The sequence below is a fragment of the Homo sapiens genome, chromosome Y, assembly GCF_000001405.40.
Source record: "Homo sapiens chromosome Y, GRCh38.p14 Primary Assembly".
In the NCBI taxonomy this organism is placed as follows: Eukaryota; Metazoa; Chordata; class Mammalia; order Primates; family Hominidae; genus Homo; species Homo sapiens.
In genome coordinates, this window is record NC_000024.10 from 9,284,421 (window position 1) to 9,304,798 (window position 20,378).

Below are 20,378 nucleotides of genomic sequence, written 5' to 3' on the forward strand. Positions count from 1 at the left end.
TATTGCTGATGATTTATGTCCTTTCCTCCAGAGACTAACAGCCCTTTTTCTTTATATAATGCTCCATGTACTTGGAGGGTTGAGAAAACATACCAAGAGTCAGTGTAAATGTTTTTAGTCTTACCTTCACTGAGTTTTCACACCCAAATTAAAGCAGTGATCTTGGCTTTCTGGGCTGAAGTACCCTATGGCAATAGTTTGGCCTCAGTGACAGCGTCCAGGGTTACCACTCCATATCCTGCATACCTCACTCCTTGTGGGTTGACAAAGCTGCTCCCACCCACATATACCTCCCAGTCCACTGATGCCCAAGGCTGTTCATACACGTCAGGCTTGCTAAAGTAAGCTGAGTTCAACACCTCTACACAGTTATGCTCAATAGGGCTTTCTTATACAGGGAGCAAGGTGGCAAAATTCAGGTTGTTACAAACTTCATTGATTGTGCAGGGATTTTCACAGAGCAAGCTTTGTACTTGCTTAGGCTAGCATTCATTAGCCAATGATATCCTTTGGTATTCAGTAAAGTCACCACAGCATGTGGGGCCTTTATGTTCATGTTTTGCCCAAGAGTTAGTTTATCTGCTTCTTGTGCTATCAGGACAGTTGCTGCTAAGACCCTCAAACAAGAGGGCCAACCTTTAGAAACCCTGTCTAGTTTTTTAGAGAGGTAGGCCACTGGCCTCAGCCAGGACCCCACATTCTGAGTCAAAACCCCAACTGCCATTTTTTCTCTCACTGACACATATGGTGTAAATGGCTTTGTCAGGTCAGGCAGAACCAGAGCTGGAGCTGACATGAGTTTCTTTTTTAACTCATAAAAGGCTTGCTCTTGTTGGGACCCCCATTCAAAAGCTTCCTGGTCTCCCCCTTTGTAAACCCATACAGAAGCTTGGCTAGTACTGCAAAGTTTGCAATCCACAGTCTGCAGAACCCCCACATCTCCTAAGAATTTTCTCACTTGCCTTCTGGTCTTAGGCTCCAATAGGCTGCAGATGACTTGCTTTCTTTCTGACCCCAAGCTGTGTTCCCCCTGTTGGATAGTCAATCCCAGGTAGCTTACCTGCTGTCTTCAGATTTGAGCTTTCTTCTTGGACACCTTATACCCACACTCCTGCAGCTACTGAAGGAGGGCCTCTGTCCCTCTGGCACACCCAACTGCCATGGGGTGAGCCTGCAGAAGATCATCAATGTGCTGGAACAAAATGCAGCATAGGTCTTTGGTGGGGGACTTTTTGAGGTCTCAAGCCAGCACCTCCAGAAGGTGGTGGGTGACTGCTTGAACCCTTGGAGAAGCAGGATTCAAGTGTACTGAGTGGTGACACCTAACCCCAGATCTTCCCTCCCACTGGAAGGCAAACAGTTTCTGGCTCTCAGGAGATAGTCTGATGCTAAAGAAGGTGTCCTTCAGGTCTAGACAAGTGAACCACCTGTCCTCAGCTGACAATAATCCAATAATGTGTATGGGTTAGGTACTGTTGGATGTAAAGTCACTGTAGTTTGACTGACCAAGCACAAGTCCTGTACTCGCCTGTAGTCCTCAGTCCCTGGCTTAGGAACAGGCAGGAGGGGAGTGTTCCATGGCGACTGACAAGGGACTATAATTCCAAAGGCTCTCAGACATTTGAGATGAACCTCAAGAGCTTGTCTGGGGACTGGGCGCTGTCTTTGCCTGACCGGCTGGACCCCAAAATTAACTTCTATGAGTATGGTGGCTTGGTTGACTGCCAGTCCTAGAGGTTTATCTTCTGCCCACACACTTGGCTACCACTTAGCCAGAGCTGGTCCTATCTCTTTGCCTGACTTACTTAAGAAAAGTCTCCATTCCTCCTCCCAGGGTACCATAAGGGCCATAATGAACAGGGATTCATGTCCCCCTACAGTACAAGTCTGGGGCAAGCAGAAAACTTGTTTCTCTGAGACTCCTGTGGCTCTGAATATATCAATAGTATTTTTGGATAAAGGGGTGACCGGGGTGGTTACTACTGAATGTTCCACACCAGTATTGACAAGAAACTTTGCCCCTGACTGTCATACTGACTGTGGGCTCATAGGGAGCACCTGAGCCCAGTTCCCCTCAGTCCAGTAACTCTTCTGCCAAATTAAACAAGGCCACTTCATCCTTGCTTGAGACCTCTGGCTCAGAGCCATTTTGTTTCTCTTTTAACTGGGGGCACTTGTCTTTCCAATGCCCTATTTCTTTACAGTATGCACACTTGTTATGCTGCAGGTGCGGTTGGTCAAACTGGGTGTTTTTTTCCCAGGGCCTTCCCTTCTTTGGCCCTTTGGGTGAAACCCTCTAATAGCTGTGACTAGGAGGTCAGCCTTTCACCTGGCTTGGTGCTTGCTTTCTTTGCAGCTTTCTCTATGGCCTGCTGCATCTCTATTCACAAACCCTGATTGGCTATTTCCAATAACAGTGATGTGTTTATGCCCTCAAACCTAGCCTGTTTCTGAAGTTTTCTTATAATGTCTCCTGTGCTTTGATGACCAAAAGCCATGTTAATCATGCTTTAATTTTCAGGGCTTTCAAGGTCAAACGGTGTATACTTACAATAGGCCTCAAAGTCTTTCATGAAATTGTGCTGGACTCCCTTCTTTTCCTTGAATGACCTCAGACACTTTGTTAACATTTCTGGCCTTCTGAGCTCCCTTCTTTAACCCTTCCAGGATGCCTTCCCTATATTGCTTTAGCCCTTCTATACCTTTCCCTTCATTTGGGTCGACTTGGGGTTTGTTTCTGGTACTTGGATCCTCACATACTCCTGCGGATTTTGGTAACTGGCCAGAGCATGTCACTCCAGCCACTTGGTTGCTGTCTGAAACTCCCTTCGCCTTTCATCTGTGTTAAGGAGGTACATAAGCAGCTGGCAGCAATTGGCCCAAGTAGGGTTGTGGGTGTGGATAATAGTTTGGAGTAAATCAATTAAAGTTTGAGGCTATTCAGTATAAAATGGGGTATTATTTTTCCAATTTAGGAGTTCAGCAGATGTAATGGGTTGATACATGAAGGCACGCCTTTTCAACATATGCCCATCCTCCTTTACCACACTACACTGCTGCTTCCGCAGGGGAATTTGAATCCCAGCCTTAGGTCATCAGTGAACTGCCAAGGGTGGGGTTTCTCCCACGGCTTCACATCCTCTCTTGTCTACTCTGGTGGCATAGGGGTGGGTGTGTGTCCTGCAGAGGCACAGGTGCTGTGGGCTCAGGAGTAGGGAGTCTCTCTTCTTGATAAGGTTGGGGGCATCGTTGGTGCCATTTCCTGCCATGAGTCTTCTCATATTGGGTCAGACAGAACTTTAGGAGCTGACTTCCTTCAGCGGGTGGAGTTGGATGCTTCCTTGGCTATCTGTCTTTTTGCCACTAGCACTGCTGCTGCTGTCTGTCCTCTTCACCACTGTGCAGGGGGTCTAAAACCAGCTATAACCAAGTGTCTATGTATGGGAACTGGTCTGGGTGCCCTGGCTTACAGATTATCTTGTGCCATTGCTTTAAAACAAGGGACCTATCTAGGCTTCCTTCTGATAGCCAACCCACTTCAAACGCTGGCCAGTCTATCTCACACAAAGTTCTAAGTTTCCCTGGTGTCATAGTAACTCCATAGTTTCCTTTAAATCTCTTCTTGAAATTTTTCAACATATTTCCTAGCAAGTTGGACTTACTTTGTGTCTGATTCATTTTTCTCCCAAGAAAAGACAATACTCACACTGCAAGAAGGAAAGGGTAAAGGTCACACACTCTTATTCAAACTAAATCAAGTAATTCAATCCAAGTCAAAACCTAAACCTAAACCAAAGTGCTGAGAAAGGCATGCCGTGGGTATCAGGCCATGCTTCCACTTGGAGTAGGCAAGTTCCCAAGACCAGCCATACCATGTTCCAGATGTCCAGACTCCAAGTACCAGTTCCTTCCTGGTGTACAGCCACTACATCGATCCTTTGTGGGAGCCTGCTGTGTACTGCTCTAGTGAGGCATTCCACTGGGGCTATTGCCTACCCTGGAGCTCTCTCAGGATCCACATCGCTCAAGCTGGATGGAGTCCTCCTCAAGGATGCTCCACAAGGCAGACCTAAGCCACCTAATGGGCTGCCTCAACCTTATGCTAATCACGTTACTTCCAGTCAAGGAACTGAAAAATGTAGCAGGAGCAGCCATGGACAATACCATTCAGACACCAGCTTAAAGAAGGAAGTGGCTTTATTTGGCTAGGAGCATTAGCAGACTTGTGACTCAAAAACTGAGCTCCCTGAGAGAGAGATCCCTGCAGCTTTTAAAGCTTACAAATCTAGGGGATCCATGTGAAAGTGTCATGATCAATTGAGCAAGCATCGGTATGTGGCTGGGCTGCATGGATCAGTAACCAGGACAGAATAGAACAGAACAGAAAGTTTGACAATGCTTCATCACACAATGTCTGGGATCTATAGATAATACAAGTGGTTAGGTCAGGGTTGATTTTTAAGTACCAGGCCTGGAGTGTGGTGCCAGCTTTCTGACTATTGATCTCATTTCTGCCTTTCTTTAGTTTTTACTTCCTCTTTCTTTTTCTGATTTATGAGACAATAAGAGAGGTGGCATCTTTCCTCACCACCTGAACACTGGGCCATGATGTGGACTGCTTGTACAGTTAAGGAAATGCAGGGATGGAGTTGGAAGCACCTTCTGTGTCATTTCTCTTCCAGGTAAAGTTGTGGGACCTAATACACCCCTCACCAGATTGTATCCTCACCACTATCTGACTTTATTGCTGCTTACACTCTAGGTCCCAGGATGAAATCCCAGGATGATGGAGTGCCCCCTCATGACTTGAAGCACCTGCTTGGCTGGGAACTGAATTCGAGGTAAATTCAAGGGGCCCTGTGGACAATACTGCTAGTGTCTGTCCCTGGGTTGGCTGCAAGACAATGAAACAATGGGAGATGTTTGTTTTTTTGTTGCGGATTTTATTTTTTTGCAGTGTTAGGTAATTAGGATGCCAGAGGTTCTTGGACCCTATCCCAATTCACTGAGGATTTATGATCCACAGAAAAAAAAAAGAGAAAAGAGAAAAAACATGGAACTCCGCAGCCCAAGCAGAGTCACACATATAGGCTACCAGAATGTTAGGACACTCAAAACAATAAAGCCATGAAGTGTGTTAGCCACATTTCTTTAAGTAGACTTCACTTGCAGGTGCACACATACATACACACCCACACACACACAAATGCCACACAAACACATGCAGATATCCAAAAGTCACAACACTCTAACAGAAACACACAGCCCAGCAGATCCTGAAGCTGTGTGGTTCTTCAGGAAGCCCCACCTGAGAGAGAGCAACTCCAGTGAACACAGGTGGGCTGTACCTAGAAATAACAGTGGGGCAAGTTACAAAAAGACTTACCCCTACAACGTCTAGGCAGGACTGACAAATCCTGCAGATACTTTTGGATCCTTAGGGATTTTGCAGTTTTTTCTTGGGGCTGTGCTTGAACTTTTTTTTTTTTTTTTTTTTTTGGTTGGCTCACCTCTGCCATCTCCTAGATTCATCAGACTATCCCATGGATCCCACAGAAAAGACAAGCGACAGTCCACCACCAACGAACCTCCATGGAGTTCTCCTTCTCCACCCAGCCACAGGGACTTTTGTCTAAGCAATGGTGACATTCATTGTGACACCAGCCAGAGCTCACAATCAGGCATGATGCCCTGAGACATGCTCATTCCCATTCATGAGGCAGGCACAAGTGCCTGACTATCAGAACTGTCAGCCTGCCTATACAGAGAAAAATGGTACAGGCAGAGACAGCCTGGTATTGGGAAAAAGGCTGTCTGCAAAAACCCACTGTGGGACCCTAAGAGTCTCAACCTCAAAGCATGTTCAGGCTTTCTCCGTGGTCAGGTCCCCCTGGAGATGGATGTGCTTCAAAACCATGAGGTGGTCCCTGGAAACTGCATTTCTCACTCTTTCTCTGAAAGAGGCTGTATTCCAGAATCAGGTCCCGTGAAGTTTGGAATATATTCTGGTGTATTTTTGAGGGTTCTTTCGGTGATAGAATCATACCTGAAACCCCAGAGGCAGGTGTCTATAAAAGACGGACAGGCTCTTGACTTCACTGCCTCCCTTCATCCTCGGCCTTGCAGGAGCTCTCTGGGGAAGGCAGGAACCACAACAAAGGCAAGTCCAAGATGGAGCAGTGTTCTCACATCTTGCACTGACCTCTCATGGGTGTAGATGAGGTTGAGACAGTATCTCAGAGGCCATCTGTGGTGATGGCAAGCCTGAAAACTATGTCCAGTAGTTCTGTTGAGAGGCACTGTGGATTCCTGATGAAAGCAGGGAAAAATCCAAGACTCATCTGAGAGAATGAGCTGCCTTGTGCTGGAGTTGAAGCAATGTTCAATGATTCCTGTCAGAGGACCCAATAGCCTCCTGCAAAGTGCAAACAACCTCAGACCCCACAATGAGACAAGGACCACCTGAAACATGGAGTGCAGCCAGCCTACCCAAAGTCCCTTTTGCTCTTTGAAATCCCTGGCAGCAAAATAATATGTGGCAAGAGGCAGTCCCATCCAGCAACAGCCCAATGAAAGAGCTCGTCCACAATGAGAAGGCCTTGCAGAAGACCCATCCCGTCCAACATCAAGCTATACCATTTCCATTTGTCTCTGGGTATGAAACCCCTGAAATCAAGAGTTTGCCAGGATAGCCCAAACCTACACTCCAAATGTTCCTTGAACGTTGGAGTACTCCCACGTGAACATCGAGCCATGGTGTGGGCTGCTTGTGCAATTAAGTGAATGTGGGTATGGAGTTGGAAGCACCTTCTGTGTCATCTGCATTCATTTTTTGTGTGTGTGTGGGTAAAGTTCCGCGACCCCATCCATCCCTAGCCAGATTTTGTCCTCACTCCTATCTGATCTTATTGCTGCTCACACTCTATGTCCCAGGATGAAATCCCGAGATGATGGAGGAGTGCCCCCTCCCAACTTGAAGCACCTGCTCAGCTGGGAACAGAATTCTAGGTAAATTCAAGGGGCCCTGCAGACAGGACTGCTAGTGTCTCTCTCGGGCTTGGCCACAGGTAAATGAAACATGGCGGGAGATGTCTACTTCTGTGTGAAGAGGAGTGGCTTTTATTGCAGGGGTAGGTGATTTGGACCCTGTCAGGTCACAGCCAGCCTCCCAATTCACTGAGGATTCTTTATCCACAAAAAAATAAAGACCACAGAGCCACAGAGTCCAGGTAGAGCCACATAGATAGGCCACCAAAAGATGGGAAGACTCAAACAAAAGATGCACTACAGAGTGTTAGCCACATTCATTTAAGCGGACTCCACTAACACACACACTCACACACAAAGGCAAAGCCACACACATAAGCAGACATCCAACACTCACAACAATCCCACAGAAACACACACCCAGACAGCTTCTGAGGCTTCATGGTTCTGCAGAAAGCCCCACCAAGGAGAGAGCAACCACAGGGTACACAGGTGGTCTGTTCCTCGAAATCACATTGGGGCAAGTTTCTAAAGGACTCACTCCTACAACGTCTAGGCAGGCCTGAGGCATCCTACAGATATACTTGGATCCTTAGGAATTTCACTGTTTATCCCTGGGGCTTTGCTTGACTTTTCGTCAGGCTGGCTCACGTCTGCCCTCTCCTAGGATCATGGGACTATCCCGTGATCCCACAGAGAAAACAGCCAGAGTCCACCGCCTACGCACCTCCACGGAGGTCTCCTTCTCCACCAAGCCACAGGGACTTGCTGCTATGCAACGATGGCATTCACTGTGATGCTAGACAAAGCTCACAGCTTAGGCCTCGTAGCTTGAGAAGAGCGCATGCGCATTCGCGAGGCAGGAGCGGGCGCCCAACTTTCAGATCTGTGAGCCTTCCTAAGCAGAGGAAAATGGTACAGGCAGAGCCAGCCTAGTATCGGGAGAAAGGCTTTCTGCGATAACCCACTGCGGGACCCTGTAAGTCTCGACCTTAGGGCCCCATCGGGCCATTTTTGTGGCCTGGTCTGGCTGGAGAAGGAGGAATTTTGAGACTGTGTGGTGATCGCCGGATGCTGCTCTTCTGACTCTATTCCCAAAAGAGACTCTGTGCAAGAATTGGTTCCCATGGGGTTTGGAATATAATCTGGTGAGTTGTTCAGGGTTCTTTTTGATTGACAGAATCATACCTGAGACCACAGAGGCATTGTCAGCGAAAGTTAGCCACGCCCTTTACCTCACATCCTCCCTTCACTCTGAACCTTGCAAGGGCTCTCTGGGAAAGGCAGGGACCATGGCAAAGGAAAGTCCAAGGTGGAGCAGTGTTCTCACACCTCAAAGTGGGTGCTCACAGGTGCAGAGGAGGTTGAGACAGTGTCTCAGAGACCATTTGTTGCCATTGCAAGCCTGAAAAGGGTGTCCAGTAGTGTTGTTGAAAGTCAGTGTGGACCCACCATGACAGCAAAGAAAAATCAAAACTCACCTGAGAGAAGGAGCTGACTTGTGCTGGAGTCCAAGCAGTGATCAAAGATTCCTGTCAGAGGACCCAAATCCTCTTGCAAAGTGCAAACAAAGTCAGTCCCCACAAAGAGACCAGGATCCACACTCTAGAGTGCAGCCAGCCTATCCGACTTCCCTTTTGCTCCCTGAAATCCCTGGAAGCCAAGAGATCTGTGGAGAGAGGCAGTTGCATCCAGCCACAGTCCAATGAAATACTTCCTCCACAATGAGAAAGGACATGCAGACACAATGAAACACAGCTTAGATTACCAAACAAAAGCCAGACATGCCTGCCTGCTTCTCATCCTACAGGAATCATGCAGCCCTCCAACAGAAGTGGGAGAAAAAGAGTTTCTTTTATGGCATATGTAATGCTGACTTATGGTTTTAAATGTATCAAAGGAGCCCAGTCATTAAAATGTGACAGTGTTTAGAAGGAAACATGCAATGAATTCCAGTGAGGGTCATCCTCCATGAATGGGGAAATGTTTAGTGTGTAAGACCTTAGCCAGACCCAGGAAAACCTAGGCCGACAGGGAACATGGAAGACAGGAAAGGAAGAGGCAAGTATGGAGGCTATATCCCACCCAGCGTCAATGCATCTCACTCCCATTTGGCTATGGGAATGAAAGCCCTCAAATCAGGAGTTTGCCAGGATGGCCCCAGTTTGCACACCAAATGTTCCCTGCACGTTGGAGTACTCCCAGGTGAACACAGGGTCATGGTGCACACTGCTGGTGCAATTAAGGGAATGCAGAGATGCATTTGGAAGCACTGTCCATGTCCTCTGTCTTCACCTTTTTTGCAGGTGAAGTTGCAGGACCCCGTCCACCCCTCACCAGATTGTATGCTCACCCCTATGTGAACTTACGGCTGCTCACACTCTCTGTTTCAGAATGAAATCCCAAGACAATGGAGGAGTTTCCCCTAATGACGTTAAGCACCTGCTTGGCTGGGAAATGAATTGGAGGTAAATTCAAGGGGTCCTGTGGACAAGACTGCTAGTGTCCCTCCCTGGGTTGGCCACAGGACAATGAAACACTGGGAGGCGTCAATTCCTGGGTATGACGTGCCCCTCTTCTTTCCAGAAGAGTACCTTTTTCTTTTTTGGCAGGGGGAGGTAGTTTGGCCTCCGGCGGGTCTCAACCAGACTCCCAATTCGCTGCAGATTCACGATCCACAGAAGAATAAAGAACACAGAGACCCACAGTCCAAGCAGAGCCACAGACACACAGGCGACCAGAATGTTGAGTTACTGAAAAAAAAGAAGCACTGCAATGTGTTAGCCACACTACTATAAGCAGACTCCACTTACAGGCATGCACACCCACACATACACCCACAAATACACAAAGCCACACAGGCAAGCAGACATCCAACACTTGCAACACTCCAACAGAAACACAGCCCAGCAGCTCCTGAGGCTAAGTGGTTCTTCAGGAAGCCCCACCTGGGAGAGAGCAACCCCGGGGAACACAGGTGGGCTGTACCTAGTAATCACTGTGGGACGAGTTTCAAAAATACTCACCCCTACAACGTCTAATTAGGCCTGAGGCATCCTGCAGATCCTTATGGATCTGTAGGGATTTCACAGTTCCTTCCTGGGGTTCTGCTTGATGTTTCTTCAGGCTGACTCACATCTACTCACTCCTAGAATCATGGGACTGTCCTGTGGATCTCTGAGACAAGACAGGCAAGATTCCACCGCCAACACACCTCCAGGGAGTTCTCCTTCTCTGCCAAGCCACAGGGACTTGTCACTAGGCAATGGTGGCATTCACTGTGAAGCTAGCAATAGCTCCCTTCTCAGGTCTGGTACTTTGAGGCTATCATATGCGCATTCGTGAGGCAGGCTTGGATGCCTGGCTGTCAGAGCTGTCAGGCTGCCTAAGCAGATGAAAATGGTACAGGCAGAGCTAGACTGGTACTGAGAAAAAGGCTGTCTGTGATAACCTACTGCAGGAACCTAAGAGTCTTGACCTTATTGCCCCTTTGGGTCATCTCGCTGGTCAGGTCCCGGTGGAGGAGGAGGTATTTCGAGACTGTGAGGTGGTCGCTGGAGATGGCTCTTCTGTCTCCATTCCTGAAAGAGTCTGTGTGCAAGAATCAGGTCCGATGGGGATTGGAAGAGTCTGATGAGTTGTTGAGGGTTCTTTATGTGATGGAATCATACCTAAGACCTCAGAGTTGAAAGGTGCTGGGCACTTCACCTCACTGCCTCCCTTCATCCTCGGCCTCACAGGGCCTATCTGGGAAAGGCAGGAACCACGACATAGGCAAATCCAAGGTTGAGCAGTGTTCTCTCACCTTGATCTGGCCTCGCTTGTGGGCAGATGAGCTTGTGACAGTGTCTAAGAGGCCATCTGTGGCGATGGCAAGCCTGAAAAAGGTGTCCAGTAATGTTATTGATGGGCAATGTGGACACCCCAGGAAAGCAAAGAAAAATCAATGCTCACCTATGAGAATGAGCTGCCTTGTGCTGGAGTCCAAGCAACGTTCAACGATTCTTGTCAGAGGACCCAAAATCCTCCTTCAAAGTGCAAATATCCTCAGCCCCCAAGACGCAACCAGGACCCACAACCTGGAGTTCAGCCAGTCTATCTGAAGTCCCATTTCCTCTCTGAAATCCCTGGAAGCCAAAAGATCTGTGGTGAGAGTAGTTCCATCCAGCAACAGCCCAGTGAAGGAGCCCTGTGACAATGAGAAAGGATGTGCACATGAAATGAAACAGAGCCTAGATAACGAGGCAAATGTTAGACACTGTTACCTGCTTCTCATCCTACAGGAATTGTGCCACCCTCCGATAGAAGTGGGAGATGAGTTGTTTCCCTGTTGGTGGCTGTGTGGGAATTTACATTTTAAAACTATCAAAGCTGTCCAGCCATCTAAAACATGAGTGTTAAGAAGGAAACACTTATGCAATGAATTCCCATGAGGGTCATCCTTCATGAACTGGGAAATGTTTTGTGTGGAAGATGGTGAACCAGACCAAGGAAACCCTAATTCGATGAGGAACACAAAGTCAGAAAATGAAGAGGCAAGTGTGGAGGCCACATCCCACCCACATCAATCCATCCCACTCCCATTTGGCCCTGGGTATGAAAATCATCAAAGTGCAAAACCCCAGTTTGCACTCCATATGTTAATGGCAGGTTGGAGAATACCCACTTGAACACAGGGCCATGGTGTGGGCTGCTTGTGCAATCAACGGAATGTGGGGATGCAGGTGGAAGCAACTTCTGTGTCATCTGTCCTCACCTTTTTTTCAGGTGCAGGTGTGGGACACAATCCACACCACACCAGATTGTATCCCTTTCCCTATCAGACCTTATTGCTGCTCACACTCTCTGTCCCAGAATGAAATCCCAAGATGGTGAAGTAGTGTCCCCTCATGACGTTAAGCACCTGCCTGGCTGGTCTGACATATTGATTAATCATACTTATAATTGTTTACATTCATTGTAAAACACAATGTTTCATTTTTCTTCCTTATTCCCCACCATTTATTTTCTTCTCATATTAGTTACAGTTTGTAACTTATTTTGTTAAATATATACAATGAAGTAACACTGCAGTATTGCAGAAAGCACACTGCATTGGAAACAGACTCATATTGAAACAGGAAAATATTTCTTATCCCCCACTGCTGGGCAAGAAATTAGGACAGGTTGTGGGGCTCTGACCCCAGGCAGCATCCAGGGGTGAATTTTTACAGCTCCTGAATCCCCATTGGGCATATGTTACACGGCGTTAATTTAGTTTATTCATCTGTAGGCAGGTTGTGTTAGCTCAATTAGACACCCTGCCTTACTGCAAGGACAGAGGGCTTTCTGGATCCCTGGATTTCCTGCCTTGATGTAATTGAAGAACTGGCTCACACGTGGGCTTCTACAGTAAGTGCAAGGTTTCATTGAGTGGAAGTTCTCAGCAGATGAATGGGGAGCTAGAAAGGAGATGGAGTGAGAAGGTGCTTTTCCCCTGGAATGGGGCAGCTCAGCGATCTCCTCTCACAGCCCCGAGGAACTCCGTGTTCTTCTGTGGTGAATAGCCTACCACCTCCATCCTTGTCCTCTCCTTTCTCTGGTGTCTTCTTGGGGTCCAGTTGCTGTGTCTTTGTCTGCTGATGGTTCCTGTCGATGTCCAGCTGCTCTGTCTGTGCCTGCTAGGGTCTCAGGGATTCTTATAGAAGATGATGGGGGTATGGCAGGCCAGGGTGGTCTTGGAAAGTGCAACACTTGGGCAAAACAAAAACAAAACAAAACAAAAAACAAAAAAACAGAAGGGCATGTCCTCACCAATTTGGGCAAGAAAACAGAAGTGTGTGTCCTCATCTAGGTCAGTGAGCACAGGCCTGAGGGTGGATCCCTAGCCAAGAATCACACCCTCCTCTACCAGACACTTCCCTGCCCCCCTTCCATATCAATATTTTTTAAATTTAAAACTCCAAAAATAGTACCCAGATCCTTTAGAGAAGACAATTGGAGAAGATGGCATTAGAAGAACCAGACTAGGATTAGGGTCACTACATAGAAAATGGAAACACAGATGGCATGTCCTGCAGGCCATGGAATTACTGTGGAAAGATATCCCCTACTGAGAAGGAAAGGGAAACAAACAGGCTTCTCTCATCTTTTTCTCTAATCTCTGCAGTATCACCCCTTGACTGACCTAAAATAGGGAGTAAATTTTATGGGAGCCTAGGAAATGTGCCTCCCAGGGGTCAGGCATCTCTATAACAGAATAGTGCCAGGGAGAGGTGAGTGATGTATCTGTGGGCATACAAACCCAGGACCTCACACAAAGGAGTATCAGAGAGAAATATAGTATGAAGAGATTAAGAGAGAAGTAGTATCAGGAATGATTCATGCATGATATTTGTGAAGAGGACAAAAAGTAAAACAGAGCTTATGAGGTAGTAAACATAATAAGAACATAAACAAAAGCAGGCAAAATTGTAAAGTCCAGGGTATTAACTTTCCTTTATAGGATTTTGAAAATCCCTTGCAGAATCCCTTTCCCAATAGCTTCCTTTCATAGATTCATTCAAGAAATATTTAGTGAGCTAGTATGGTCTAAGAATTGGTCAGATGGCATCATGTGCATTGTTAGTACTTCTTTTGATAGAAAGAATGTTTCTTTTTTTCTACAATGTTTTCCTCCCAAACATTCTTCATGGAAATTTGAATCCTTACTGATCCAGTCAATTGTTCCTGCCCTAAGAATGGTCCCCAAACCCCTGCAAACCCCGTTAAGAACTTCATTCCTCTCCAACTAAGTTACTAAATTGTGTCTATTGTAACACTTGTCAGAGTACATTGCAATTATCGCTGTTCTCTTTATTCTCCAATTAAACTATGAATATTTTGAAGGAAATGTCTATAAACACAATGGCCTGTCATTTGTCAATACTTATTGTACCAAAGGTTATTAGATATTTACATATAATATTATAACATATTTATCCTAATTTTTGGAAAACAATATAAACAATGTTCACTGCCCATTCCCCATGAACTGCTCAACTTTAAACAATGTCTATGCTTTGGAGCAATTGTACAAACTTCCAAAGAACACCGGAAAGTGTTTTTATTTTGTTTGACTTTGTTCTGTTATATTGAATTATTTTGTAGAAACAAAGTCTTGCCCTGTGGCCCAGGCTGAAGTGCAGTGTGCAATCACAGCCCACTGCAACATTGAACTCCTGAGTGAATAGAAAAATAGGTGTGTGCCATCATGCCCAATTTAATTAATTAATTAATTAGTTACTTTTGTAGAGACTGGTCTTGCTATGTTGCCTGTGCTAGTCTCAAACTCTGGGTTTGAAGCAATTCTCCCTTCTCAGCCTCCCAAAGAGCTGTGATTCCAGGCATGAACCACCAGATCTCAAAGAGGAAATTTTAGATTTTACAATATTGCAATATGTTAGACTTCATTTCTTCTTTCAATTTTGCATTTGCAGAAGCACTTGAGAATAATTATTTCTTATGGTGAGAGGGTGATTTCTCATATTTGGTCAACAAATTTTGAAATCGTTATTTTGTTTACTGAAACCCTAATAACTGGTAGTCAAGTCAGCTGAAAGTCAAGTACATGAGTGTTTTTGTGTTGAGGTTTTGAAGACAAATGTAGAGAGATATTAAGAACCAAAGACATTTTATATATATATATATATATATATGCTAAAGCTTCATCCTTGTAGGTGAGGCATCATACATGGCAAGGATAGTTTTATAAAATACCATGAAATACATAATTTAGTAACCAATTCAGCACTTGAAATTTCCCAACTTAGTAACCAATTCAGCACTTGAAATTTCCCAACTTTGTATTCACCAGGAGTTAATGATGTATGGCACTTATAGTAAGTAAATTAAGGTTTGAATTGCTGTTATTTAAGTCATTGCTCAGCTAATCATTTAAGGTATCAAAGATTTTTACTTGTGCAATATCATAAACGCTGGACATTAAATATTAATCACTAGGATTTATGTATCTAAGAGCTACCATCTAATGTGATATTCTTCAGTAAGTTGACAGCAATAATTATGCTGAAAAATAGTCATTCCCATAGTGTGAGTCATTACAGCAATTTCCATCTGAGGATTTCATAGTCAGAGTCCAGATCTGGGCAACAGTGATTAATATAAAGGTTTTTAATGAGAAGAGATTTTGATATATCTAGCTGTGTTTAGATGTCAGTGCCTTGAATGGATGGGTTTGGTATTAATAAGAAAGGGTGCATTGGACTGGATACTAAGAAACGTATTGAATTGTTTCTCTTGTTCTCCATAACATGAAAGGTAAATCAGAGATATAGAAACAATGGAAAATTTCACAGAATGGCCTGACATTTCACTGCACTTTTATTTTTTTTAGCCACTTACAAATTCTTTAAACATACAAAGGTAGGACTGTTACAGGAAAAAAGTGTTGGTGTGAGAAGTCACAATCCACAGCAAAGTAATAGTCTGTTGTGGATGGCACCTTGAGTGCTGAATTAGAGTGAGAATCAACTTTCAGGCTGCCAACCTGGGACAAGGAGAATGAAGCTATCAGCAGTTAACATTATTGGATCAATTAAAGTGAATGTCAACAGAGATTTTGTTGATTTTACATCAAATTGAGTATAGGACTTCAAATTGATTATTTGATAAGGATAAACTCTTACCAAATTTCCCACATGAAAAATTGAGAACTAAAAGATTACACAACCCATACATTATGAGTATCTCATATAAATTTAATATACACATGTGCTAACTTACAGTGTGCAAATATTTGTCTATATCTAAATATATCCAAATCCATTGATGAACAGTTAGAAATTTAGAAATTATTCTCCCATTTTAACTTTCCCTTTCCTAGAATTTTGTCACAAATATAATTTTTCCCTCTGTTTGAAGCCTACTCTCTGGAGGCATGTAATATATGGATACAGTAAAGCCATGAGATATTACAGGGTTTGTATCAGAGAAAATAATAAAACTGGTGTTATAAAAGATCCACTGTAAGGAGAATTTTATACTTCACATGACTACGAATACAGAAGTGTTATTTCATTGAAAGCTGATATCAGTCAATACAATTTGTTTTTAATGTTTTGTTTAAAATACTTAATCTCAAAAGGATTATTTGAGTAATGTTATTGGTAATAAATAACGATTAAGAATTTCCTTTCATTTGTTGATTATTTAAAATGCAAGTAAAATACTAAAAAGTACTGTATAATGTAGTTTCATGATGCATTCTCTGTGGTTTTTGTAAAATTAATAGCCTCAATGGAATTTTTTGACACAGAGAAATTTCCTTATTTCATTATTGTACTTTCACTTTATTACTTGCTTGCATATCATAACTGATGGAAATAAAATATTTTTATTTACACATATACAAAGCATGGAATTTTATGTTTTCTAGTGAGAAAAAGTCACCAATAATTTTATCAGTATAGGAAAATTTTGATATGCCCAAAGTTCTTAACTTTCTTTTCTTTAGAAGTTTCATATTTCAGTCTAGGTATGAGATGGAATTGACTGTGATCATTGTTTTTATTTCACTGTGACTACTGAGTTTCTGATACAGTGATACTAATGTATAGACTTAAAAGCTTGCCTCCTCCTCCTCCTCCTTCTTCTTCTTCTCCTCCTCCTCATCCTCCTCCTCCCCGCTTTGGACCTGTCCATGTGATTTCTGCAGTAATATGCACCGTTATCTGAAATAAGGTTACTAAAAGGTACAAGCATAAGTGGAATTCTTTATTTTTATGAACCTTTAGGAACAGACAAGTAAAACTGAAACATAGTTGTGATATGAATTTAAGTCTGCAGTTTCTCACAGAAGTCCAAAAGGGTGAAAATAAATTTAAAAATGCATGCCTCATCCAAAACATCATGTAGAATAATGAAAAATTTAATTTGACATAAATACCAATTTAAAAGTTATAATTATTTCAGGTGAGAGAAAGTAGCACTAAAAATCCTATTTTTCCTGTTTAAGTACATAACTATTACTGTATCTTCAGGCCTTAAAAAGTGTTAAGTTTAACTTAAGCAACAACTTTCTGGCAATTTCTAACAATGAGTGCATCATCTTAGAATTTCTCCAAGAATTTTTTGGGAGAAATATAATCAAATTTTGCTCTGTAAACAATTGAATTAATCAATAGAATTATTGACTGTAGTCTTGAAATTTCATTGTCCTTCTCTTTTCAGTTTTTACATATTCTATTTAAAGTTCAAAATCCCCTAGGAAAAATATGATAAATAACAATGACTGAAAAAGTTGAGAAACAAAAACTGAGCAGCAGACACATTTCAGGCTTTCCTTTATGAGAATGCTACACTAACCATGTAATATACACAATATAAATCACTGTGAGAAAAAAAAAACATTTGTGTAGCTACTTGACAGTTTATACAGTAACAGCAAATATTCTCACTTGAACTTCAAAAGGGTTTTTAAGCTTGTGTTTCATAAATGAGGAAAATGTGGTTTGTATTTCCTGTATTTGCCTATTACAGCAGTTATCACACTTATTATTCCTCATTTATCTCTGTGCCTGTAACAACTGCACTCTCAGAAGAGCAAGGACCATGTTTTTCTGAGCTTCTTGCAGACTGCCAGGCTTATTGTGGCATTTAGAAACTATCCGCTGAATGTTTGTGACATTTTCATGCGAGTTAGATTCTAGGCCACTTGATACTAATCTTCTATTTAATATTTGGGTTTGGAGAGCTATTTTTCCTTTTCAGTTTTTTTTTCTTTTATCTTTTTTTTCTTTTTTTATTATAAATTAAGTTTTAGGGTACATGTGCACATTGTGCAGGTTAGTTACATATGTACACATGTGCCATGCTGGTGCACTGCACCCACTAACTCATCATCTAGCATTAGGTGTATCTCCCAATGCCATCCCTCCCCCCTCCCCCCACCCCACAACAGTCCCCGGAGTGTGATATTCCCCTTCCTGTGTCCATTTTTTCCTTTTTTTATTATACTTTAAGTTCTAGGGTATATGTTCACAACATACAGGTTTGTTACATAGGGATACATGTGCCATGTTGGTTTACTGCACACATCAACTCATTATTTACATTAGGTATTTCTCCTAACGCTATCCCTCCCCAGCCCCGCAACCCACTGACTGCCCCGTGTGTGGTGTTCCCCGCCCTGTGTCCATGTGTTCTCATTGTTCAACTCCTACTTATGAGTGAGAACAGGCAGTGTTTGGTTTTCTGTCCTTGTGATAGTGTGCTTAGTATGATGGTTTTCAGCTTCATCCATGACCTTGGAACCACAAAGAGATACCATCTCATGTCAGTTAGAATGGCAATCATTAAAATCAGGAAACAACAGATGTTGGAGAGGATGTGGAGAAATGGGAATGCTTTTAAGATTTTTTTAAAGTATATTTTAAGGATATGCTTATCTGGACATGGAGTGGACAGTGCAGGTCATGGTCAGTGGGACCTCCAAAGGAGGCACCCCATTCAAATTGGAGGTTCTGCAGGAGAGGGCAGCCAGGGTACAGAGCTCGAAGGCGCCCTTGGGGGAGGAGAAGGTGCTGGTGGTGGACAACGTCATGGTGGTGGTTGAGAAGAAGGCCAACATGGAGCCTGGTGGAGGACCAGCAGACACTGCCTGGTCCTGGCCCCAGCACACCCTGGCCAGCCACAGATTCGCTGGAGGTCCTTCACTTGAAGCAGAGTTCCATGAATAACCAGGCCACATGGCCTGCCCACAGCTGAGAGGGAACCTTTGGCAGAGGTGCCTCCCCCGCCTGGATGGCACAGGGGCCATCAGCCAGGGCATCTCCAGCTTCTGGGCCACAGCCACATCTTTGCAGCTGCCCATTCGGAATGACTGGCAGCAGGGGGTGGGCATCTGGCTTCCTGGGGTGGGGAGCAGGGGAGCCAAGCAAGGGGCACACGGGGCCAACCAGGAGGAAGGGGATGGGGGATAGTGAGGGGATCTGAGGCCAGGGTCCTGCAGATAGGAGGGCAGCTTGCTTGGGGGTGCCCTGAGAGCACGTGGTAGGGACTGGGAGCCAAGCTCAGCACTCACAAGGGAGAATAGCGGCCCCATGGACCCTTCACGCACAGCAGAAACTTGAAGGGCATGTTTCCATGAGAAAGTCCTTGGAGGAAGGGGAGTCTGCATGCCCATGCCAGCCATAGAAACCACCCTGGCTGCCCATGTCTGTGGCCAGCAGCCTTACCCCAGAAACACAAGGTGCTTCAGACTCAGGTTCACGGTGCACGGGGCTGCTGTCATCTGCAAGGCAGGCACCAGCTCCCCAGATAGGCTTTCTTCCTTCTGCCTGCACTGCACCCAAAGAGCTGTAGGCCCTGGGCATATACAACCTCCGTTGCACATACACCTCCATTACACACATGGGAGCCCCATGGGGAGTGACAGGCACAGCCCTGCAGTCCCTTCTATCCACAGCAGCTCCATCAAGTGGACATGCCCACCTCTCAGGGAGACCAGAAGAGGGGACTGCACACCTGGACACCCTCAGCAGAGCCAGTCCAGTATCCAGCACACAATGACCATGTGCAGCTCAGCAACTCTGAAGATACAGCCGCCTCACACAACGGCACCCCACACCCAATCCCCTGCCTACTTGTGCCGCCCGCTCCTTGTTGGCAGGGGCTTTCTGGGCCTCCCTCCACCCTCCCACAAGACCACCACAACCACTACCATGCCCCCAACACTGGACAGAGACAGGACCACGAATGCAGGGTACCAGGTCAAAGGTTTTGGGATAGCCCTGCCAAACACTCTCCCAGCTCTTGCAAAGTTGTGGGGTGTTTCCTGGCATGCCCACCCAATCATCTGGAGGTTCCTTGACCAGAGGCAGATTGTGCAGCACACCTACATGTCGGCAGAGTTCAGAAACCATGAGGAAGTCCTGCTAAGTAAGCTACAGGATGGATTTGAAGCTCAGGCTGAGGAGCCAGGGTCTGCAGGACGGGTCCAGGGTCCTGTTCAGGTTGAGGTCCTCCTGGGGCACAGGGGTGTCTGAGTGGTAGAGCTGGGAAGGGGCAACACATGCTTCACCCCAGCCAGCAGGCCCTCAGCCCAGATAGATGAAATGGATCCTTTGAGTCTGTCCTCTTCTTCTTGGCATGGCAGGTGGAGGAACTCAGTCATCCGGGGTACCGGCAGCAGGATGAAGTGTTCCTTTCATCACTACCTTTATTTCCACAATAAAGTGATCATTAAGGAATATCGTGTTCGCATCCTTGGTAAGGAGTGCCTCCTGGTGTGGTAGAGAGGGTGGAGTGTGGGACGCTAGGCCTGGCATGAGCCTTTCTGACTCGTTCCAGGATGCAGGGCTTCTGGCTCTAGTGTAGTCCAGTGGTTCTAGAGTCATCAGAAGAAGCCCCAC

General features: G+C 45.0%; 2 long non-coding RNA genes across 2 annotated transcripts; both read left to right on the forward strand.

The window, feature by feature from the left end:
- The first annotated feature begins 4,556 nt into the window (after positions 1 to 4,556).
- Positions 4,557 to 6,808, forward strand: LOC105379266 (uncharacterized). The gene is made up of 3 exons (XR_949068.1): positions 4,557 to 4,682; positions 4,763 to 4,841; positions 5,527 to 6,808. It is a non-coding gene; the product is annotated as an uncharacterized LOC105379266 (long non-coding RNA).
- A 1,155-nt stretch (positions 6,809 to 7,963) lies between these two features.
- LOC105379267 (uncharacterized) lies at positions 7,964 to 20,193 on the forward strand. Its single transcript, XR_949069.1, has 3 exons — positions 7,964 to 8,135; positions 9,381 to 9,455; positions 20,123 to 20,193. It is a non-coding gene; the product is annotated as an uncharacterized LOC105379267 (long non-coding RNA).
- Positions 20,194 to 20,378: the final 185 nt, after the last annotated feature.